The sequence below is a fragment of the Homo sapiens genome, chromosome 5 (genome assembly GCF_000001405.40).
Source record: "Homo sapiens chromosome 5, GRCh38.p14 Primary Assembly".
NCBI lineage: Eukaryota > Metazoa > Chordata > Mammalia > Primates > Hominidae > Homo > Homo sapiens.
In genome coordinates this window covers 176,785,478-176,809,477 of record NC_000005.10, presented here as the reverse complement: position 1 = coordinate 176,809,477, position 24,000 = coordinate 176,785,478, and the positions used below count along the sequence as shown (strand labels likewise).

Sequence of the window (24,000 nt, the reverse complement as noted above, 5' to 3'; positions counted from 1 at the left end):
GGAGGGGAATGAGCAGGGTGAGGGCAGGGTCGCAAACTCAAACGCCTACGGGGCCGGTCGATAATATAAATTGGCGCTGCAGGCTAGGCGATGTAAGGGATGGTCTTGCTTCCACAAAGAGATATGAGCTCTCCTATATTTCTTGAGACACGAGGCCCTCTCTCGGTCTGTCTTTTGTTTCCCACTTTTGATAGAGAAGGGTTATGAAAAATGTTTTGCTTTCCTCTTAAGTCTACTATAAAAAACACCAGCTAAAGCTCCAGAGGCAACCATACAGACGCTGGGCTCCATCGCCAGGGAGGCAAAGGGCAGTGCTGGGGACAGGCACAAGGATCCCATCTCAAGGGGCAGCTGCCTTTTCTGCTCCAGGTGCTGGTTGTCGGGGGAGGGGACCGGGGCACAGTATAGCCGCATCTTCCAAATTTTCAACAGAAGCCGTCGTATGTGAAATATTCTGATTTAAAATTTTTAACTAGTAAAAAATAATTTTTTAGACTTCATGTGAGCCCAGGGGAAAGTGTTCACCACCTTCTGGTTTGGGAACTTTGCTTTCGGGGCAGTTTGAATGTACACGGTGTCAGGGCCTGATCAACTCACATGTCTCGTGTGTGTGTGTGTGTGTGTGTGTGTGTGTGTGTGTAGGAGCAGTGTGTGCCCAGGCTGCTCCTGTTGGCACCATAACACCCCTCTTCAGCCTCTGCAGGAAAGAGGTGGGTGGGAGAGGAGAGTCAGTGGCAGGATCTGCCCTTGGGGCCCACTGGGGATTGGGCACTGGAGGCTGGTGGCTGAGGATGAAGGAAGAGGATTGAGGGCTGGGGTATAAGATGACATTATAATAGTGTATGCTCTGTCTAAAGGGATGGCCGGGTGTGGTGGGTCACACCGTAATCCCAGCACTTTGGGAGGCTGAGGTGGGTGGATCGCTTGAGGTCAGGGGTTTGAGACCAGCCTGGCCAACATGGCGAAACACCATCTCTACTAAAAATACACACACACACACACACACACACACACACACACACACACACAGCCAGATGTGGTGGTGGGCACCTGTAATCCCAGATACTCAGGAGGCTGAGCCAGGGAGAATTGCTTTAACCTGGGAGGCGGACGTTGCAGTGAGCCAAGATCATGCCACTGCACTCCAGCCTGGGCGACAAAGCAAGACTCCGTCTCAAAAAAAAAAAAAAAAAAAGTATGCTGGACACCACTATGTCCTTGCATACATTTATAATTTGGCTTGATCCTCACATGCAGTCCTGTTAAAGAAACATTATTATTCCCATTATGCAGATGCAGTAGCTGAGGCGTAGGGAGAGGAAGTGCCTGATTGCTCAGGGCCAACCTTATCCAATAGACTGCAGGGTTAGCTAAGATGCATCCTTGGGAGGTTTGGTTTCAACGTCCGTGTCCTCATCTTTTCTCCTGCTACAGTTTCTACTCTGGGATTTGAATTTGGGAAATGAGGTTTGAGATACAGGAAAGGAAGGGTCTTTTCTGCTCAGTTGGCTGCTTTGTTCACTTCTCTTCTTGCCCCTCTCTCTTCAGCCAGAATGGAATGGTCTATGTAAGAGTCAGGATAGATTAGGGGATGTCGTAACAAATAGTCCCCAAATCTCAGTGACTTAAATCAACAAAGGTTTGTTTCTCATTTGTCCATCATGGGTCTATGACTCCAGGTCACCCTCACTTGAGGACCCAGCCTGACAGCAGCCATTCCAGAGGTGCACCCACCAGCCATCAATCGCTCAGCCCAGACACAATGGATCATGTCTGGTCACAATCCATTGGCCAGAACTGGCCCCACAGTCCCACCCAAGAGGGCCAGGAAGTATAATCCCACCTCGTGCCTGGAAGGCAGAGCTGAAATATGTGGAGAGTAGCATGAGTGCCTGCACAGCCTGTGGTCCCAGCAGAATCTGGCCCCTGCCTTCCTCTTCAACTCTGCCTAGGCCCTAGCCATAAGGCCCCTCAACCCCTCACTTTGTTTCTCCAGCATCCAAGCTCATCCCACCTCCAGGCCTTCCCATTTGCCTTTCTTCCTAGAATACTCTGTCCCCAGATCTTCACGTGGCTGGTTCCTTTTAGTCACCCGGGCCTCAGCTGAACTGTTCCCTTCCAAGTGATGCTCAGAGTCATGTCAGGAGAAGGAGGAGGGGTGCCCTTGTAGAGAGGGGGAGTAGGTGTCTCACTGGAACTCTTCTTAAGAATCCAGGGTGAAGGGCTGCCAGGAAAGGGTTTGTCTCAGACCCTAAGGTAGGATGGCCAGATGGGAAGAGGACTCCTGAGAGCTCCAGCCTCCTTTGCTTCTGTTACTCAGGCAAATTTTTCTTCAGAAGATGAAGTCTTGGTCTATCATGAATTTTCAGGGCAAACAGTTCTGCTTCAGATGCTGGCATGGCAGCAGGGCTCTGGGCCCCTGTCTCGCCACCCAGACACCCTGTAGGTGTTCCGTGGTGAGGCTGCTTCCTGAAGGCATCTCCTGAAGGGGTTGGCAGGTGTTCTGCCATCATGGCCTGATACACAAGAGGAGTCCTAATCAGCTGTTGGTCAGTGATATCGCACTGCTAATATCCCCTGGACCTGGGGAGCTCAGACCCTGTGCTGAGGCCATCACTGACTTGGACATGCACCGAAGTTCCTATGAGTTGCTTGGAGTATAAATTTCCATGTCCTGCCTATCCTAATTTTGATCCAGGATGTCTGGGGAGGGGTCTAGGAATCTGCTTTTACTGTGCCCTGTAAAACCTACAAGATGTTTCTGCTGCTGCCAGTGGTCTGAAGACGGATCACACTTTGATGGACATTGTCCTAGGTCTTTGCCTAGGTACTATCAACAACTGGGTGTTCCTCACCTACCCTTTAGGTCGCTGGTTTTCTGCAATTAAATGCAGACACTTAAATTCATCCCAATTATTTTCCATCGTATTACATCTAATCCCTCTTTCCCATATGGAGCCCTCTCAGGATGTGGGTGCTGTCAGGGAGGGTATTTGCTATTTTCTTCTGCTTCTGTCATTCCCAGATGACATTAGGAAGTCACATATACTTTCAACCAAGTCCTAACTAAACAGGTTGCTGCAGGCAGGACCAAGGACAGGGTCCAGAGGCTCCCAACTCGAGATCAACTTGCATATTGCACTAGGGCAATAAACCAGCTGCTCCTTTGTCCACTCAGGAAGCCTCTGACCACACCATCATTCAGCTCACATCTCACTGCTGCACCCACAAAAATAAATGGAAAGACTTAGCAGAGCCCTAGAATCATGAGCTTCCAGGTTTGCTCCAATCTACCAGACAAATAACCCAATTGATCAGGAAATTAGTTCAGCAAGCAGGACATGCTCTTGGAGACCCTTAAGCAAGACATTGGATTTTCTCTCTCTCTCTTTCTTTCTTTCTTTCTTTCTTTCCTTCTTTCCTTCCTTCCTTCCTTCCTTCCTTCCTTCCTTCCTCCTTCCTTCCTTCCTTCCTTCCTTCCTTCCTTCCTTCCTTCTTTCTTTCTTTCTTTCTTTCTTTCTTTCTTTCTTTCTTTCTTTCTTTCTTTCTTTCTTTCTTTCTTTCTTTCTTTTTGAGATTGGGTCTGGCTCTGTCACCCAGGCTGGAGTGCAGTGGCACTGTCTTGGCTTACTGCAACCTCTGCCTCCCAGGCTCAAGTGATCCCACCTCAGTCTCCCAAGTAGCTGGAACTACAGGCCCTTGTCACCATGCCCAGCATTTTTTTTTTTTTTTGGTAGAGAAGGGGTTTCACCATGTTGCCCAGGCTGGTCTTAAACTCCTAAGCTCAAGTCATCTGCCTGCCTCGGCCTCCCAAAGTGTTGGGATCACAGGCATGAGCCACCACACCTGGCCAAGACATTGGCTCTTTATGGTCCGTGCTATGGTCCAAGTGTTCACATCTGCCCACTGCTCAGCATCCAGCTTCTGTCTTTCCTTGGAAGGATCACCCCTCCCCACCATCAGCACACAAGATTCAGGTCGGACTATCCCCCTCCAATTCCAAAAGACAACAAATGCCCAGGCCCGGCCAATCAGCATCCACTATTCCCTGAAACACAATGATTGGTTCAGAGATGGGCATATGACCCAAGCCAGGCCATTGAGGCTCATTTCTGGGACTTTTGTTGGAACTAAGGAGAGAAAGAATTTCTTTTCTTGCTGTACTTGAAGCTGCAAAGAAATGACCTGATCTTGACAGCACTGCCACAATAAAAGGGCATGCCTGAGATTGAAGCTGGGGTGGAGAGGAGCAGAGCCTGGAGAAGAGAGGGTTGCAGAATCCTAGTTCATTGTTCAAGCCCTCAGATTCAGCTGCTTCTGAGGCTGCTGAAACCCCTGAATTCTTCAGTTAGATCAGCCAACGCATTCCCTTTTGAGCTGTTTAAGCCCATTTGCGGTTTTTGTCATTTATATTTGAAAACAAAATACAGGGCTGGGTGCTGTAGCTCACATCTGTAATCACAACATTTTGGGAGGCTGAAGGGGGAGGATTGCTGGAGGCCCTGAGTTCAAGGCCAGCTTGGGCAACATAGAGAGACCCTGTGTATTAAAACATTTTTCTAAATGATCTAGGCATGGTGGCATATGCCTGTTTTCTAGCTACTTGGAAGTCTGAGTGGGGAGGACTGGTCAAGCCTAGGAGTTTGAGGCTGCAATGAGATATGATAAGGCCACTGCACACTATCCTGGGTGACAGAACAAGATGCTATCTCTAAAAAAGGGAAAGAAAAAAGAAAAATAATATAGAATTATCCTTTATTAAGAATCTACAGGGTGAGCATTTATGACTGACTACTATTTGTAAGGCTCAATGATACCCACCGGGGGAACCTGCAGCATGTTGGGGAAGATACAAATGTCCTCCCAGTTGTAAGCTGGGGTGGAATGAGAGCCAGATCATAAAAGAAATGATTACTTTGTGAGGGATAAGACAGGAGATAGAACTAAAAATAAGCCCCTTCAAAGGACCCCTGGCAACATCTGGACCTGTCCCCTCTGCACACAAACCCCAACACTCACCTATGCTCTGAATCTAACACACACACACAGCAAGCCAGCACCTGCTCAGTCTCCACAGCGAACACAACACAAATGCACTTCCCACACCTAGCTCACACATGTGCATACTGGGTAACTGATGACACGCAGTACAGGCACTCATGTTCCTCGCAGTTACATACATGTACAGACACTTCCATATCTCCCCACTCCATTCCTGCACACACTGTTCACATGCCCATTCTCCATGCTGCCCCGTTCTACTGAGCACTTCATGCCTGGGCCTTAAGGCTGGTCTGGCCGTGCCTCGGCGCAAGAACTGGGATGTCACTGCCTTGGAGCCTCCAGGACCAAGGACAGCACCCAGCATTTCTTGAGAACTCTCCAGGTGCCCAGGACAGGACTAAACTCTGTACCTGGTTTATCTCCTTCAATTCTCACAGCCCGTTATGCAGTAGATGTGATTATTGTACCCATTATGTAGACACAAAAACTGTGGCACAGAGAGGGGTTGTAACTTGCTAAAAGCCACTCAGCTGGTAAGAGATGGAACAAGGATTTAAACCTAGAAGCTGCTCCAGAAATGTTTACTGAGTGATTGAAAGAATGTTCAGTCTAAATGGTTTTATTAGAGACACATCCTCCTATGATGCATGTGTTACACACACACGCGCGCACACACACATGCACGCACACGCACACACGCACACGCGCACACACACACACACGCACACACACGCATACACCCAGAAACAACCTTTCCCAGCTCCGTGAACTCCGTGACATCTGTCTCTGAGGTCTCCCTGGCTACACAGTCCCCTTTTCGAGTTTTCCTGCTGGGCACTCTCAGGCAGGTTGGGAGGTAAGCAGTTCCCTGCTGAGGGGCCTATGTGAAAAGGAGGGGGCGGAGGATTGTCAGGAAGGGGCAGGAGGAGCGGAGGAGGAGAAGGACGGGATTGGACCAAGTGGAAGCCTGGCACCGTGCCCTTTGCAGATGACCTGATGAGTATTTTGCAGAGTTAATTTCATTAGCGTCTCTGGGAGATGAACAATTAGCAAGATGCTCTGATGCCTTTAAAAGCTTAAGAGAAGGAGAAGCCTGCCTTTCTTGCTTCCCCACCAGACCGCAGCATCCCCCACCCCCACTCTTCTCCATCTCTGTGCCCATCTCCATCATTCATCCACCCTTGTCTGGTCTTCTCTCGTGCTCTCACGGCCTCAGAGCCACTTCTACCCTGCTCCATGGCCACCACACAGCCCCTCCCTCCCTCTTCCAGGCTCCCATCTCCCCTGCGGCCTCATGCTGGAGCTCTGCCCACACCGCATCAATTGGCCCCCTGTGTTCTGATCGCTCAGACACCCAGCACTGGGGCTTGGCACTGGCCCAGCCCTCCAAAGAGACACAGCTTTCTTTGGCATCCAAAGAAAGCTGGGCCAGGTAGGGGTTCTCTGGTTTTGATTGATTTTGCTACCAGGTCTCTGGCAACTTCCAGATGGGGTTCCAATGGGGATTGGAGCTCCCATACCAATCCCAGGGTGGGTCTAGTAGGCAGGACAGAGATAAGCTTTGACTCAGTGAACCGAGAGCTGGGAGAGGAGGCAGAAGTTTACCTCTGCCTTGCTTACCAGACCCACCCTGGGATTGGTATGGGAGCTCCAGTCTATTGGAGAAGGTTGGGACCCACAGAAGGGAGGCCCAGGTTTGTGTGTGGGGCATCTGCGGCTTTATCAAACAGGTGGAAAATGGGACTCCAGACATTCTGGGGCAGTGTTTGTCCCAGACACCCGCTGCATGACCGTGGTCCTGAGAACACACCCTCATACTGCATCCTCCATGCTCTAAGTCAGTGGGAAGGGTTCTGGTCCAGCCACCAGCCTCTCGCAAGCCACCTTTGGGCAGCCCTGGGGTAGTGCTGGCATAGGGAGGACTGGCCAGCTGGGTCTTGAGTTCTCTAGAACCAGGTCAGGTCTCTAGGCGGACCCTCTTCCCTCAGACTAGATGACTGCTCGATGATTCAAAACCCCCTTCAGCCCCAGATCCCCACTTCAGGCAGGGTATCAGAACCCCCTCGGAGCTTGCTGAAACCCCGAGGTCAGACCCCTCTTCAGGTCTACTGACAGGATCTTTAGGTGGGGCCCAGACAGCTGTGTTTTAAGAGATTTCCAGCTGGGCCCTAAAGACTGGGAACCACTGCACACAACATGGGCCAGGAGTGGGAGGAGAGTGGTCACACCCCTGAGGCCAGACAAAGAAACCCTTGCTCCCCAGCAGGGACTCTCAACAGTCTGTGGGAGGGTCTCCTTTCTCCAGGAGCAGGGTAGAAGCTGGTTATTCCAGGGCAGGTAAAAAAAATTCTGTGTCTCTAAAGCACAGATATACACACACATATACACACACGCACATACAGTGCGTAACCAGATATACAGCATATTTGTGGTCTTAACATTTCAGGTAGGCTACCAGGGATGGAAAGTCTACAAAGGCTCCTTACGGGGGCGATGGTAGAAAACAGGCTGAGAAGCACCTCTTACTACTCAAAGGGCCTGAGAAGCACAAGAGCACAACGAATACTCCACACCTGGATGTGCACACACAGAAACACAGGCAACACACACACACACAGCCCACACCTGGATGTGCACACACACAAACACAGGCAACACAAACACACACATATACACAGCCCACATCTGGATGTGCACACACACAGAAACACACAGCCCACACCTGGATGTGCACACACAGAAACACAGGCAACACACACACATATACACAGCCCACACCTGGATGTGCACACACAGAAACACAGGCAACACACACACACACATACACACAGCCCACACCTGGATGTGCACACACACAAACACAGACAACACACACACACACATATACACAGCCCACATCTGGATGTGCACACACACAGAAACACACAGCCCACACCTGGATGTGCACACACAGAAACACAGGCAACACACACACATATACACAGCCCACACCTGGATGTGCACACACAGAAACACAGGCAACACACACACACACACACACACAGCCCACACCTGGATGTGCACACACACATACACACAGCCCACACCTGGATGTGCACACACACAAACACAGGCAACACACACACATATACACAGCCCACACCTGGATGTGCACACACAGAAACACACAGCCCACACCTGGATGTGCACACACACAAACACAGGCAACAAACACACACATATACACAGCCCACACCTGGATGTGCACACACACAAACACAGGCAACACACACACACATACACACAGCCCACACCTGGATGTGCACACACACAAACACAGGCAACACACACACATATACACAGCCCACACCTGGATGTGCACACACAGAAACACAGGCAACACACACACACACACACACACACACAGCCCACACCTGGATGTGCACACACACATACACACAGCCCACACCTGGATGTGCACACACACAAACACAGGCAACACACACACACATATACACAACCCACATCTGGATGTGCACACACACAGAAACACACAGCCCACACCTGGATGTGCACACACACAAACACAGGCCACACACACACACATATACACAGCCCACACCTGGATGTGCACACACACAGAAACACAGCCAACACACACACATATACATGCAGCCCACATCCAGACATGCACACACAAATACACTCCACACCAAGGCATTCACACAGTCACATACACACACACCCCACACCCAGACACACACATACACATACACATATTCCACACCAAGGCATACACACACACACCCCACACCCAGACATGCACTCACACATATACATGCACCCCACACCTGGACTGAACACATACACACACACCCTACACCCAGACGTGCATGCACACACAAATACACATACTCCACACCAAGGCATTCACACAGTCCCACACACACCCCACACCCAGACATGCACACACACATATACATGCACCCCACACCTGGACTGAACGCACATACACACACCCTACACCCAGAAATGCACACACAGATATACACATCCCACACCCAGACTGAATGCATACACGCACACACAAGTCACATCTGGACACACACACACCCCACACCCAACATGAACACACACACATTCACACACGCAAACACACCCAGGGTCATACGTGCGTGCACACACATATACACACACACACACCTGGACATGTACACACACATGCGGGGATACACATGCTCCCAGGCACACACACACACACAGGCCACACCTGGACACAGCCCACGCACTAGCACACCCCACACACAAATGAATAGAAAGTCTCTCTCACACATATGCAAACACACACACTCTCTTCTTCACCCTCCCACACAATCATCAAGAGACTCCAGTAACACTGCATTAGTGAAGAGGAGACTAGGTTAAGATTTTAATAAGCTTTTAAATAAACAAATATACCTTTACCAGGACACCATGTTTTTTATTAATGTGACATCTTGGCCTTATGTTTCTTGAGAATAGAGGAGCCACACAGCCGTCTTCACACATGGCCACCCGTGCATGCGTGTGGGTGTAGAGTTGTTTTTGAGATGAGTGTGTGTGCTGTTCATGGCTGTGAAGGAGACACACGTCTCCATGCAGGTGTGTGCGTGCAGGGATCTTCTAAGTGTGTGCTGAGTGTGCGTGTCACGGGCAACAGCTCAGGAAGAAGCAGTGTGTGTGTGTTGTGTGTGTATGCTCATTGTATGTGTGTGTGCTCGTGTGTGTGTGCTCATGTGTATGTGTGTGCATGCTCATGTGTATGTGTGCTTGTGTGTGCGCTCGTGTGTGTGCATGCATATGTATCTGTGTGTGCTCGTGTGTATGTGTGCTTGTGTGTGCGTGCTCGTGTGTGTGCTCGTGTGTGTGTGCACACATGTGCTATGACTCTGGGGTCCTTAGGCAGACATTGTCAATTCCCAGAGCACTCAGTCTTTCAATTCTCCCTGTTCACCATCGTATTCCTTACTTTTGCCAACACAGTGCACACTCCAGGAATATGTGCTGAACGAGTGAATGAACAGACGAATGTAATTTAAGTATCTCAGTTTCTGTTCTCTTCATTAAACCTCATAAATTGCCCTGTGACTTAGATACCATCCTGCTCATTTTACAGATGAGGAGACTGAGGCTTGGAGAATTTGAAGCAGCACCTCCACCATCGCCATCCACGTCTTCTACCTCCCAGGCTTGCACAGGGCACACTGGCTACCCTGCGGACCCCTGGGAGACCCAAGCAGGGTGGCCCGGGCTCTGCCTTCTCTGAGGTGGGGTCAGCCCTGCTCAGGTCGTTGCAGGAGGGCTGCTGAAGAGGCAGCCTTGTTGGAATCCGGCGCCCATGGCAAGACTCTCTTGTGAGGTTTCCGACAATCCCTGCCCACATTTTCCTCCGCTCCTTCCTGGTGCCACCAGACTCCTGGCCCTCAATGTCTGCTGCCCTGGCCCCTTGAGAGTCCGCTGGAGCCTAGCGCAGAGCAGATGGGCGATGTTCACCCAGAGCAGCCATTCTGACTCTGTCCCTCGGGTCTGGTACATACTGTGTGCCAAGGTTAATTAAACCGGTAATTAGAAGGAGAGATGCTTAATCTATCTGGTTAGTAAAATAACCCCCCTCGCATGAGCTTGCGGACGCCGTCACTCTCCGGGCGGAAGCGGAGATGCCGCAGCCCCGACATCGTGGATCAGCCAAGCAGAACGCTGCTTGCTGTCTGTGGGCCTGGCTCCTGCCCCGCGCGGCTCCCCGAGTCCTGGAACCAATTCCTGGGCCCACCTCAGCCACTTCAGGGTGGGATCTTGGAGGGAGCTTCAAGCGAGGTCAAGCCGGGGAGATAGCTGGGGGTGTCCAATCCCAGAGAAGGCGCCGCGGTGACAGGCGGCACCACAGGTTTGTCCCCCAGGCACCAGGCCCAGGGCAGTGGCTCAGCACCCCGGGGGTCTCGCCCGCGGCCGGGACCCTCTCCTGTCCTTTCCTCACTCTCCTTTCCCTTCCTTCAAGGGGAGCTCTGACCCTCGCACTCTAAATTATATCCTTGGTGAATATCTTTAAAAATTAATTTTTAATCCTACATATAAAACATGAATACATTATTTTGTGTTTTTAAAAAAGACTGCACATCACCCCGCCTCACATCCTTGGTTTTTCCAGGGAGAAAGCCGCTGGCGGAGTCTGCTGCACGGCCTCCTGGGCCTTTCCCTCCATGGGTGCAGGTCTATATGTTGGCATCAGTCACTAGATTTTTTACTATCTGGTCTCTTGCTGTATGCTTCCTTCAGCGGTGTGTCTTTCCCCCTCACTAACCACATGATGAGCTGATGTTTTCTTCAGGTACATTTCATCGAGATGGAATTTTTCTGGATGAAGAGAGGAGCCTTCCCCGCCCTCAGGACCCCACGCCGGGAACGTCTTGGAACCTGTATCAGGGCACCCCCTGAAAGTGGACCCTCAGCCCCAGGGGTCCACCCTGCCCCACCCCAGGCTTGCCGCCACTGCCCAAACACTGCCCCAGCCCCTATTCCCCCTGTGCCTGGAGTGGGTCAGGGTGACAGCAGGCCCCTTCCCTCCTCCATCGCGGAGACACCGCAGCTCACAGAGGACAGCTCTCTGTGTGCGAGGCTGCCTCAGCCCCACTGTAGCGGCCGCCTCCTGCCAGCCTCACAGGCCCCCAACAGGGTCTGGCTCAGGTGCAGGGTCTTCAAAGAGACAGGCCACCTCCCACTTCCCACCTCAAAGGACAGCCTGGAGGGACAGGGCCTGAGTGACAACTGCTCCCTGGGGGCTGCTCACCTGCACGGCCGCCCCGCTCTCTCTCAGCTCCTGGCAACAGTGAGAGCAGACCCAGCTGATGGGCAGCAGCCGCAGGCGAGGGCGGACGTGTGCGGGTGTAGGGGAACGGGTTTTATTAACCTCGTAATGATCCACTTAATGGGCTTTGAAGTCGGGCGCATCCAGCAGCTAGAGCAGGTGGCCCCGAGGCCACAGGGTGTGAGCTGGTGGGACGTGGGAGTCTGGAGGGTCTTTAGCTACCAGAGCTCCACACCAGTTCCCAATCTAAAGGGAATAACAGGACACATGTTTATTATTATTTTTTAAAGGGGCATGAAATAGATTAGAGAGTGAAGGCAGGACCGGACAGGGCATGGGCTCATCCCACCTGGTTGCTGGTGCCAGCTGTGTGGCCTTGGGCAAGTCATATCAGCATCTGAGCACAGCCCGCTCACCCTCACCCACCCATCTGTCCATCAGATAGTCATTCATTCAACAGGTATTTATTGACCCCCCTGCTCTATGTCAGGCCTTGAGCTATGTGGAAGACTTTGTGTTTTTGGAGCCAAGTACTCCAGTGGGGGGTAGCAGGTGGGAGAGAGACTGACAATAAGTAAGCAAACAAATAGAACAACAAGATAATTCCAGAGGCTGCAGAATATAAAGTGGGCAAAGTGAGAGAGAGGGGCAGAGAGGAGGAGTGGAGTGCATCTCTATGGAAGTGTGGCCAGGGAGGGTCTCTGAGAAGGTGCCATTTCAGCAGAGACCTGATTGAAGAGAAAGTGGCAGCAGCCGTAGGGAAGACCTGGAGGAAAAGTGTTGTGGACAGAGGGATCAGCAAGTGCAAAGCATCCTGGGGGGAAATGAGCTGGATGTGTTTCCAGACCCCAAGGACAGGCAATGCAGCTGGAGCCACAGGGTGTGGCCGGAGGACATAAGTAGGGGTTGGAGTCCGAGAGGTGGGCAGGGACCCAACCCCCAGAGCCCTGGAGCAAGGAGAATCTAGAATATTGCAAGAGCAAAGTGAAGCCAGCGGAGGGTTCAGGAGGGAGTGACAGGATGTGATCTGCAGCCGAAATACATTCTTCTGGCTGCCACGTAAGATGACTGGGTAAAAAAGGGGGGGGTTTAGGGTGGCAGCCAATCATTTTTAAGCCCGTTTCAGTTCCAAAATCCTGTAGTGCCTCGCCCCTTTCCTGTTCTACAACAACACTAAGGATAATCTCTAACATTTGAAGGGTGTTTTCAACGTTTACAAATCACATTCGTGAACAATTCTGTTTCATTCTCACAGATGCTCCTTTCAATACTCTCCCAGGGAAGTGGACTCCTCTGACCACCTGCAGGGCAGCCCCAGAGTGGAGCCTCCAGGGACCTGGGACCTTCGAGTGCTCTGCTCGCAGGGCCAGTCGGAAGGCTGAGAATGCCATTTGTCTGGCGGTGAACATCCGTTGTCTGCCAGCCAGGGTCCCAGACCCCCTCTTTGGGTAGTGGTGCTCCCATCTTCCTTTGAAGAACCTGCACCACCACCTCCATGCACAGTCTCTGTGGCTCAGATGAAGCCACTGTAGTCCTGGCTCCAGGGTGGCCAATCAGAGTTTCCCAACATCCTGGCTTCCACAGAGGTTGGTTCAAATTGAGTCCTCCATTTGTACCAGTGAGAACCAATCCTGAGGCTGAAGCCTGGGCTTACATAGAAGATGCTCCCTTTCAGGTGGGATGGGCCACATGGCAGGGTAGGGGCCGGAAGGGCTGATGGCCAGCAACTGGTAAAAGCCTGCCTAAGCAGGGAGCCCCCACAGAGGAGGGCTGACAAGGAGATAAGGAAGGAGAGACTTGTTCTGTTGGAGCACCCAGATCTGGCCATACCTGAAGCCAAACTTCTCTCACCCTAGGGACTCTTCGATGACAAGAGCCCCTGAATTCCCCTTTGAGTTTGAGCTAGTTTGAGATGGATTTCTGACCCTTGCAGCCCAATTGGGCCCTTACCAATAAATACACATTTGTACAACCCTTAAATGTTTATAAACAGACTCTCACACACAGGGCTTGATTCAGTTCTTAGAGCAACTCTGGGAAGTAGGCACTTTTTTTTTTTTTTGAGACGGAGTCTTACTCTGTTGCCCAGGCTGGAGCGTGGTAGTGCGATCTCAGCATACTGCAACCTCTGCCCCCGAATTCAAGTGATTCTCCTGCCTCAGCCTCTCGAGTAGCTGGAATTACAGGCGTGTGCCACCACGTCTGGCTATTTTTTTGTGTGTGTGGATTTTTAGTAGAGACAGCATTTCACCATGTTGGCCAGGCTGGTCTTGAACTCCTGATCTCAGGGGATCCGCCCACCTTGGCCTCCCAAAGTGCTGGGATTACAGGCATGAGCCACTGCCCCTGGCCAGAAGTAGCCATTTTTATCCCCATTCCACAGAGCGGGGCAGTGAGGCCAGAAGATTGAGTTGTCAGGAGCAGAGCAAGGACTTGGACCCCAGCCTTCAGTCATTCCCCTCCTGGAGGACCAGTGTGCCGCACACAGGATCTCCCCCAGGGAACTTCTTTGCTGTCATGAGCCAGGCCTCTATGCCCCTCCCTTTGCCCACCGAGGCCTAGGACCGGCCTGTCTGGCTTCTTTTTCCTGGCTGCTGTCCCCTTCAGCCTGGGGTTCTTGGAAGCCAGACCCTCCTGCCTATTAAATGCCTATTGTGTGGACGGCTGTGCTCCAGCACATGGGGACACGGCACTGAACGGGACCAGCACTTGCATTCTGCAGGGTGGAGACAGATGACAAACACAGGAAGGAGATATTTTCAGGCAGGGATACCTGCTATGAGGAAACACAAATGGACAAAACTCAAGAGATGTGATGATGACCAGAGGAGGGAGAGGGTGCTGAGTGAGATGACGGAAGGCCTCTCCTCTGAGACCTGAGTGATGAGAAGGTGCCCAAGGCAACAACTGGCTACTGAGTTTCCCAGGCAGAGAGCACAGCCGTGCAAAGGCCCTGTGGGGGACTGGGCTGGAGGAACAAGGCTGCTGGGGAAGGAGGGCCGGGACGCAGGGAGGGGTTGGCAGGGGCAGCCCTGGGTACATTTATAAATTTGGGCCTTATTATATGTGTAGTGGGAAGCCAGGGGTTGGGGGCGTCGATAAACAGGGGAGGGACACTATAAAGCTCACTCAAGAAACAGCAGTCTGGTGGCTGCGGGAGGACATGTGGTGGGGACAGAGGAAGCAGGGTGCGCCCAGCCCACTCCAGCCCTCCCAGTCGGATCCTGTTGAGCCCCGAGCTCTCTTCTCATCTGCAGACTCCCGCGTTCAGCTCTGGGCACCTGGGGAAGGATGCATCTTGACAAAGTTCAGCCAGGGGATTAGCGCCCCATGGAAATGGCCTCCTATTTTCTATTATGTTCATCCACAAAGGCGCACTTCTTCAGGCTCCAAGGGATCTGCCCCAGGGGAAGATCTTTTCCCCTAATGCCAAGGACCAGGTCCCTCCTCAGTAGCGTCTCTGGAATTTGGAGAGTCCAACCCCCAATACCCAGCCCCCTCCATAACTGCAAGAGGCACTGTTGTGAGCATGAGTGGACACTGTACCTGTGTGCCCATGGGCTCGTGAGCAGGAGCAGATGACTGAGGGCAGGAGGAAGGGAAGGGATAGATCCTTCCCTGGGAAGGATCCTGGTGGAGGAGAGAAAGGCCCCAGGCTACTGGAACCCTGCCACCACCTCCGCTGCCTGTCTGCTTCCATCAGGAGAGCCATCGGCCTCACAGGCTATTTTATCTGTGTTTATTGTCTGTCTGCCTGTGTCTCGCTCTATCTTCTGATGTGCCTGTCTCTCTGCTGTCAGATGCCCCCTCAGCTGGAGCCAGTGTTGCTGAAGACAGGCACAAGCCCGCATCTTCTCCCTGAGAGCGGCATGCACAGCCTTTGGCCCCTGGGGCCTCGACGCCACTGAGAAAAGCAAAAACAGCTCCTCAGCTGCACAGCCCTTTACAGTTTGCATTTCTCTATCCCACGCACATGTTTAATTATATCCTTGCCTTGTTCTTGAAGGAGTTTAAGGCACTAACCCTCTGTTTGTTCTTCACAGTGACATTGTGGGGTGCACAGGCACAGACTCAGCCCATTGGCAGCTGAGGAAACCGGGGTGGAGCCAACGTGTGTGAGGGGCAGGGCTGGACTCCAGCCTCGGGCGCGGGTTGGGTTGCTGGTGCAGGGAGTTTCCAGAGCCCTCCCTCTCCCGGAGGTTCGGAGGTTGCACTACCTGGAGGTGTCCCATGCCACCCTGCCCTGTCGTGGGCTCAGCAGGCTGAGCTGGTCACTTCCTGGTTCTCTTAGGCCCCTGGTTCCTCAACTTTCCATCTAAATTTCCTGGGGAAGGCTCCTGTAAGTGGGGGAATCCCTTGGGGAGTGGGGGAGAGGGAAGGGGATTCAGTCTGGGCCAGGGACGGAGGGTGGGGTGCTGAGGGCTGCTGTGAAGTGCCTGCCTGGGCCCCACCCTGCAACGTGGCCACGAAGGGCTAGGCCTGGGGAGGGATTGAAGGGTCTGCAGGAGGGTTGGTGGGGAAGAGCAGGGGCTGCCCAGCTGACAGCAGGTGACAGGATGGCTCGGCCGAGCTGCTGCCGCTGCAACAAAGGAAGGGAGCAAGGGGGGCGACGAGGCTTGGCCACCGTTCTCCCAGCTGCCCTGGGTTTGAAGCTGAGCCACTTTGCTGGCTCCAGCACAGCGCGAACAGGTGGCAGCAAGATTGGCACAGCCAGGAAAATCCATCTTGCGGAGGCCAGCATGCAGCAGAGCGGGAGAGGAGCAGCCAGACGGAGGGGAGGCAGAAGGAGAGGAGGGGAGGGGCTGCAAGGAGGGGACCCTGTCATCCCCAGGCCTGGCCATCCCCAGGGCAGCTCCTCCCGGCTTCCCCGACACATGTCCTTGTGTACCCACAGAGCCAGCTCTGCACTCAAGAGACCTCCAGAACCCTCAGGGACCTCGGGCCGGCCAGGTTTCCTACCTGGGAGGGCCCACAAGGCACCTGCCTTCTCCTTTTGCCCTGTTGCCCCTGCCTTCCAGCCAGCCTACCCTCCAGCTTGTGCCAGGTGGGCTTCCTGGCACAGGGAACACTTGAGCACCTGGGGTGGAAGGAGGCACCTGGAGCTCCCAGGTGGGCTCCCAGCTCCAGGAGTAGCAGGTTGAAGTTTCTTGCCTGGCAGCTCTGTCAGAATGGGCAGCCCCCAACACCTGCTGCAGCACCTGGTGGCTCGGCTGGGGGCTGGTTTGCTCAGCAGTGCCCCAAATCATGACCATGTGGGCTCTGCCACAGCCCCATGAATACTGCCCATGCGTGAGGTGCTGTTTGCCACTCAGCAATCACAGGCTTGTGCATGGTGCTACCTGAACACTCAAATGAACCGGCTCTGGAATTCACTCGGTCCCCACTTGGTAGGTGTCTGTGAAGGGTTTAGCCTGGGCCAAGCCCTGTTCCAGGTGTAGAAGACGTAGCAGGAAAGAGGACAGGCAAGGTCCAAGCTCACGATGCTTACATGGTGGAGGGACAAGTCAACCAATGAACAAGGTTCTTTTTATTTTTATTTTATTTTATTTTATTTTATTTTATTTTATTTTATTTTATTTTATTTTATTTTATTTAAGACGGAGTCTCACTCTGTCACCCAGGCTGGAGTGCAGTGGCATGATCTCGGCTCACTGCAACCTCCACCTCCCGGGTTCAAGCAATTCTCCTGCCTCAGCCTCCCCAGTAGCAGGTGCCCGCCACCATGCCCAGCCTATTTTTGTATTTTTAGTAGAGATGGGGTTTTACCAGGTTGGCTAGCCACTCGAGTACCTGAGATTACAGACATGTGCCACCATGCCCGTCTAATTTTTGTATTTTTAGTAGAGACGGGGTTTCATCATGTTGGCCAGGCTGGTCTCGAACTCCTGACCTCATGATCCTCCCGCCTCGGCCTCTCAAAGTGCTGGGATTATAGGCGTGAGCTACCACACTGGGCCGTGGTCATTTTAGATAGTGATAGGTTCGTGCAGAAATACACAGAGTGATGAAAAAGTACCTGGAGGGGTGGCCTTCCAGATGAGGTGGCCAGAGAGGGCTTCTTTGAAGAGGTGGCATTTGGGCTGAGAATTTGGATGTGGAGAGAAAGAACTGAAGATTGGTTCAGAGTCGAGCTGGGGAGTTGGCGTTCCCTGGGCTGGGAAGGACTGGGGACGCCTGTGAAGTTAGGGAGGGGCCATAGAGGATATTCTTTCTCCTTCTTTAAAAGTGCAGCTTAAAGGGAATTCCCACACTCCTCCTGCCTCTTGGGCTAGCCTAGCCTGGGGACCCTCATCCTACCCGAGAGCCTGAGTGTTCGCCCCTACCCCACAGACACGTTCACTCCGACCTGCTCTCCCATGCACTCTGAGTAAGCTGTATCCCTTCTTGAAGATGGACAGCACTTTACAAACTCCATATGCTCAGTTTTCTTTTATTATTTTAATTTCTAAATACTTGGGAAGGTTTCCAGCACTGGCTTCTGCTGTGATTCTGGTGCCAGCAAACACACTTTGCTCTGTCCCCCTCCTCCTCATCCCTTCCTTCATCCAAACCACAAAGACTTCTTCCAACTTGGAGGAGAACTGGGATGCAGGGGGAGAAATTCAGCCAGCAAGTGGGTGCCCCGTGGGCCTGGTTGAAGAACTGGCAGCCCCAGGAGGCAGCATGGACTAGCAGGAAGAGCCTGGCCTGGCGGGTGGGAAGCCCAGGGTCTAGATGATGTGGGGGTTTCTGAAGATGCTGTCAAATGGCCCCTGGCACAGAACAAGAACTGCAGGTCTTGCCACACAGCCCACTCCACAGAGCCACCCAGGCCTCTCCCCTTCCTGAGTCCCACAGGGTCTGACTCCCCACCCACCAGCACCCATGTTCTCCAGGGGAGCTGGCTTTCTTTCTGGCTCTCAGAGGCCTTGAGGACTTTGCTTTGCTCTTCCTTCTGCCTAGAATGTTCTCCCCACCTCCAAACCTTCACAAAGCTCGCCCTTTGTCTTTCAGTGTTACCTCTTCTGCAAAGCCTTCCTGGACACCCAGTCTGAGCTGGCTTCCCCAAACATTCGTCACAGACCCTGTCGCTAGCTGAAATCTCATGTCTTGCTTTCATGACATGTTCCTATAAGATCAGAGACCTTACCTGTCTTTGCTCTCTTCTGTACTGCCAGTGACTGGAATAGTGCCTGGGGTGGAGTCATACTTTCTTGTTGAATGAATGAATGAATGAATGAATGAGTTTTCCAAGTTTCCTGTCCATCTCCTCCTCCTGCCAGCTCCCATTGGTGGAAGGGAGATAGGGTTCTGGGTAACTCATAGTCTGGTATCTAGAGAAACAGGATGACATTTATTGACTGGCTGCCAGGAGCCCCCATGTGACCACATTCAATGGGCTACCCCCGTTTTAGTTACAAGAAAATGAAAACTCAGAAGAATAAGAACCTGCCCAGAATCAGGCAGCTTGAAAGCAGGGGAGCCACGATTCAGACTCCTGGCTTTGCTACCCTACCAGGCCATAGATGGACCACAGAGAGATGACCAATTTTCAAAGAATTGGAATAATAAAGTGCACTTAGCACCACGCACTGTTGACTGTAAGTCAATGCCACTTTGATGACTCAGAAGGTGATGATTTCAGAGCCCCAAGGGGCACTGTCACCGCTGAGTCCCGATCTCATGGAGCGGGCCCACACCTGTGCACAGCGTGGAGCACCGACAAAGCTGTGTGACCCCACGCCGTGCCCTGGGGGCTGCTTTCCAGGCAACAGCGCTTGTCTCCGCAGACGGTCCTCTGCTTTTTTGTTTGGAAGAAAGGAGGCTAGTGCCTTGATGTGAGGTTTCCTGCGGCGTGTAATCTTGACCAGCGGGAGTCTCCAAAGCCAGCCTCAACCAGGAGGGATGGCGACACCACTAGATCCTTTTGCATGGTGCCAGGATAGCTGTGAAGCTGCAGCCTCGCCTCCTCCCAGCCTGTGCTCGCGGCCACGCTTTCAGAGCATGAGCCAGTGTTTGCGAGGCAGCGCCCATGGCAGCCGGTGCCCTCCCTTCCCTACCTCCCCGTCCTTCAAATCACTCGCCACCATTGGTCACACCACGCATTTGATTTATTTTGGTAACATCTCCCCCTACCCACCCCTGCTGGACTGTAAGCTCCACAAAGGCAGGGCTTTGTCTGCTGGGTTCCCTGCTGGCCTCGCCCCCAGCACCGTGGCTGCCACACCACTGGCACCCCATGTTTGTGCAGTGACTATTTCCCCATCGCCTGTCATTCACATCCCACCTTCACAATTTTGGTCGTAACTGTGCCTCACTTGTGCTATTTAATATTTTTCTTTCCATCAACCCCGTTTAAAAAAAACTTAAAGAAATGAAATGTAAGAGGAAGCTTTTTTATCACTGCCATAAATGGAAAGCCAATATCACTTGCCATAAATAGAAGACAACTGTTAAAATAAATGCCACAAAAACAAAACAATGTGATGAAATCTGAGCAAGAGCTGGTTGCCGGTGGAAGGCAAGAAGGCTGGGGCCAGCTCTCCCTCTGTGCTAAACAAGGGAGGGCAATGAGCCCTAGAGAGGTGTTAAAGACAGGCTCACACCAAACCCAGACTTTGTCCTTGATAGAGGCTCTTAGAGCTGAACAAGGAGTCACTTTCTCAGCAGGCAAGTGAGGCAGTGTGACTTAACTCCATCCCCAGCACCTCTGAAGATCATTCCCCCCACTATGGGACTTACCCTGTGCTTTGAGGAATACAGAATCTGGAAAAGTTGGTGGGGCTAGACCTGGAGGAACTGCTCCCCAATGCACCTGGCAATGCTAGCCCCTAAGGTGCTTTTGTACAAGTCAGATAAAGAGCTCTTTCTGGGGGGAGGTGGCCCCGAGTGACAGGGCTGGGCAACTGTACAGTGCCTTTGTGGGCAGAGAAAGGTGCTCTGTCCCCAGGATCTTGCTTTCCTGCCAGGGTCCCGACGCCCATGGATCCATGTCTCAGCCTCAGCTCTTATTCCAGTCTTGCTCATGTTCCGGTCAGTTTTGTCCGAGCCTGTGTTCCTCACCTGGAAGCAGCTCCTGGCTGCAGGGGCTGTCTTGCTCATACGTGTGTCCTCCACCATGTGACAGTGTCCTGCATGGAAACATTTGAGGACTTGAATGGAATTGATGGTTAATCAAACTTCAAATAGCCAACATTTCCTCCTGTCCAGACAAATAATACCAAAAAATTCATCTACGCTCTCTGCCTTGGTGGCTTTTTTCTGAAGTCTTCCCAGCACCAGGTGGGCCGATGGGTATTTCCCAGTTCCCACACCCTTTGAAAGAATTTTGTCTTCCTGATTCCTGAGCTCTCCTGTCTGATCCAGTCTTTGTTTAGGCCTCAGGGAGTTTCCATTAGAATGCTTTGCGTTGCAAGTGACAGGAAAACCCAAGTCTAATTGATTACCTCCTGGGGAGTTTATTGAGTGGAGGTAGTGTTAGCATCACGTGAGGCTTGGTCCAGCGGCTCCAAAGATGTCACAAGGACCTTGTTCCTTCCCATCGCTCCTGTCTGACCTCCAGGCTCCTTGTAGAACATTCCGTCCTCCCACTTCGAGCAGTTCCAGGCTATCCCTTCCTGGTAGCAAAATTCCAATTTTATACCACATCCTTCAGGGAAACAATGAAGGTCTCTCCCAACAGCTTCCATGGAAGATAGGAGAAACCTTGCTCTACCAGAAACACTAGGAATATTCTTGCGTCTTATGTGCTGATTGGGTTACTTGCCCATCTCTCAACCAATAGCCACAGCCAGGAGGAGGGAATATGCTGAGTGGCCAATCAGGGCCTGCTCCTGAAGGTGGGTGTGAAGTCAGCTCACCAATCATGAGCTGAGAATGGATAAGCGCCCCGAGGGGAATGCAGGTGAATGGTCCCAGAAGGAAGAGGGGTTGGGTGCTGGGGGCAAACCATAGATGTCCCACTTGTGGGGGAGGTGAGCCAAGAAAGCCAGCCATTGTGGGACTTGGAGTTTTGCAATAGTTTCTCTTCTTCCCCAGGGTACAGTCAGGTGGGACGACAGGCTGGGACCACTCTGAGAATCCAGGTGCTACTGGGTCTGAAAAAGACAAGGGTGAGCTGGGTGCCTCCCCCCCGCCCCCACCATGGAGACATAGAAGGTTAGGACTGGAGGGACCCAGCAATACTCAGCTAGCAGCTTAACAAGGATGGTGGGCAGATTGCCGGAGGTGCAGGAACCTTCCAAATCACTTGCCAAACTTGTGGGGTCCTCTGTGTACTTTTCTGGGCAGGGGGCCAACAACTTAATGAAGTCTCAAAGGGGTCTCCAGCCTAAAAGAGGTGCTTGCTCAAGGTTGAACCAAGAGCTGCTAGCAGAATCCAGAAGACAGTTTGGGTCCTCTAACTCCTCGCACAAGGTGCCCACATGCTTCATCTTGTGTAATGAACTCTTGTTCATGTGACATAGGAGCTGCTGTCTCCATTGTGCAGATGGGAAAATTGAGGCTAAAGAGAATCTGTGATTTGCTCAGGCTCACGAGTGGTGTAGTGGGTTCAAACCCAGGTATCTCTGTCTGTTTTATCTCCATTATTCCTTAGAGCCATTCAGTAATGCGAGATCAGGCAACGTTGTTCAAAGGTTCTCAAAACTGCCCATCTACAGCCTGAACATGAGAAAACTGCCTCTAAAAGGGAGTCCACTTTTGCCCTGCCTCTAAGTATGTCCACCCAGGACTCACAGGCTTGGCTTCTGATCAACTTGACAATCTCAGTTTGCTGGCTCACCTCTCAGAGCTTCAGGTCCCTCATCCTTAATGGGACCCAACAATCCTTACCTTGCAAAGCTGTTTGGGGGGTCCCCATGGGTCCTTGTTGGGATAACATCATGTGCATGGCAAGGCCTGATGTGGGAGAGAGGTGGCTCTTTGGCCACCTGGATTCAAATCCCAGCTTCATCATGACCATGTCACCTGGACCAAGCGACTTTCCCTGGGCTGCCATTTCTTTGTCTGCAGAATGGGGGTGTCCACAACACCTGCTCAGTGGGGTTGGAGCATGATCATGCAAACCACCTGGTACACAGACTCCGCTCCCCAAATGTGGACCATGGCATCTCTTAGAGGTCATCTGGTTGCGCACTCAGGAACCCCACTCTTCCTTGGCTTGCGGATGATTTCCCCATGGCCCACAGAGGACATGGGCGAATCATTTAGAGAGACAGCATGGGTTGGGGAAGCGAGCTGACCTTTGGGGAATGGTGTCTCTGTGCCAGGTGTTTTGCATATATTACCATGCTCCAGCCCCTCAGCACCACCAAGCAGGTGCTATGGATATTAGGTACGAAGAAATGGCAGCCCAGGGGTAAGTCACTTGGCCCAGTGGCACGGTATATTGATGAGGTTGAGATTTGAATCCAGGTCTGTCTAAGGCCAAAGCTGTTGCATTCTCCCCTACCGTGCTCGCCATGAGCCGGAGGGCAAAGCGCATGGCTGTGTGATGGGGACACTCCGGATGGCAGCAAGGCTGGCCTGACCAGCCTGACCATCATTTAATTTAGACCTGTTCTTTGCTAGCTCCTTAGGGAGGTGCCAGGGGCAGGGGCCTGCACAGGGACAACCGGCCCAGCCTCATTGCTTCTCATGCCCAGCCTGCCACCTCCGGTGCAAGATTCAGTGGCCCCACTGCCCCCTGCAGGCCTGGCTGCCCTTTGGGCTCTGGCGTGGAGGAGTGGGGGGCTTCCTGCTCCAGTGGGCAAAGCTGCTGCCCCCACACACTGCTCCAAAAGCCATAAAGCAGCTGAGGAAAAATGACGACGGCCGAGGAAACGAGCCACGGAGGAAATTAACTCACACCCAGGGAGCCGCGTGGCTTTCTGCTGACAGAGAGGGCCGGCTGCCTCATAAAACTAAACACTTAAACTCTCCTCTTTACAATAATTATGGCTCCTTGAATACCTCTTCCCGCTGCCCCGGCCCAGCCTGGTTCCTCGCAGGGCACCAAGGGGGACCCACGGGTGGAAGCCGGGGCTCCCTGGGGGAAGGGATGGGAGCCAGGTATGGCTGCTGGAGCCCAGGTGCCTTCAGTGGGGATGCCTGGCCAGGGAGCCAAAGGATGCTAGAGCCAATGGTGCCTTGGGGCCCGGCTGCTGCAGCCTCCTCATTTGACAGATGAGGAACCTGGGAGCCTAGAGAGGGTTTGT

The 24,000-nt window shown here is 52.5% G+C and overlaps 6 annotated features.

Annotated features, from left to right (window-relative positions):
- Positions 3,003–3,203: a silencer, noted in NCBI's record as "peak5589 fragment used in MPRA reporter construct". NCBI's record gives its function as "represses an SCP1 promoter by STARR-seq MPRAs in K562 erythroleukemia cells {active_cell/tissue: K562}" and the evidence as "EXISTENCE:reporter gene assay evidence [ECO:0000049][PMID:32103011]".
- Positions 10,374–11,320: an enhancer, noted in NCBI's record as "H3K4me1 hESC enhancer chr5:176225159-176226105 (GRCh37/hg19 assembly coordinates)". NCBI's record gives its function as "activates a minimal SCP1, AML or CMV promoter by ChIP-STARR-seq in primed H9 embryonic stem cells {active_cell/tissue: H9 hESC(primed)}" and the evidence as "EXISTENCE:reporter gene assay evidence [ECO:0000049][PMID:30033119]".
- Positions 15,518–16,359: an enhancer, noted in NCBI's record as "H3K27ac-H3K4me1 hESC enhancer chr5:176220120-176220961 (GRCh37/hg19 assembly coordinates)". NCBI's record gives its function as "activates a minimal SCP1, AML or CMV promoter by ChIP-STARR-seq in primed H9 embryonic stem cells {active_cell/tissue: H9 hESC(primed)}" and the evidence as "EXISTENCE:reporter gene assay evidence [ECO:0000049][PMID:30033119]".
- Positions 16,360–17,202: an enhancer, noted in NCBI's record as "H3K27ac-H3K4me1 hESC enhancer chr5:176219277-176220119 (GRCh37/hg19 assembly coordinates)". NCBI's record gives its function as "activates a minimal SCP1, AML or CMV promoter by ChIP-STARR-seq in primed H9 embryonic stem cells {active_cell/tissue: H9 hESC(primed)}" and the evidence as "EXISTENCE:reporter gene assay evidence [ECO:0000049][PMID:30033119]".
- Positions 20,673–21,872: an enhancer, noted in NCBI's record as "P300/CBP strongly-dependent group 1 enhancer chr5:176214607-176215806 (GRCh37/hg19 assembly coordinates)". NCBI's record gives its function as "activates an origin of replication core promoter dependent on BRD2, BRD4, P300/CBP, MED14 and CDK7 cofactors, with strong dependence on P300/CBP, by STARR-seq in HCT116 cells {active_cell/tissue: HCT116}" and the evidence as "EXISTENCE:reporter gene assay evidence [ECO:0000049][PMID:35650434]".
- Positions 22,951–23,544: an enhancer, noted in NCBI's record as "H3K4me1 hESC enhancer chr5:176212935-176213528 (GRCh37/hg19 assembly coordinates)". NCBI's record gives its function as "activates a minimal SCP1, AML or CMV promoter by ChIP-STARR-seq in naive H9 embryonic stem cells {active_cell/tissue: H9 hESC(naive)}" and the evidence as "EXISTENCE:reporter gene assay evidence [ECO:0000049][PMID:30033119]".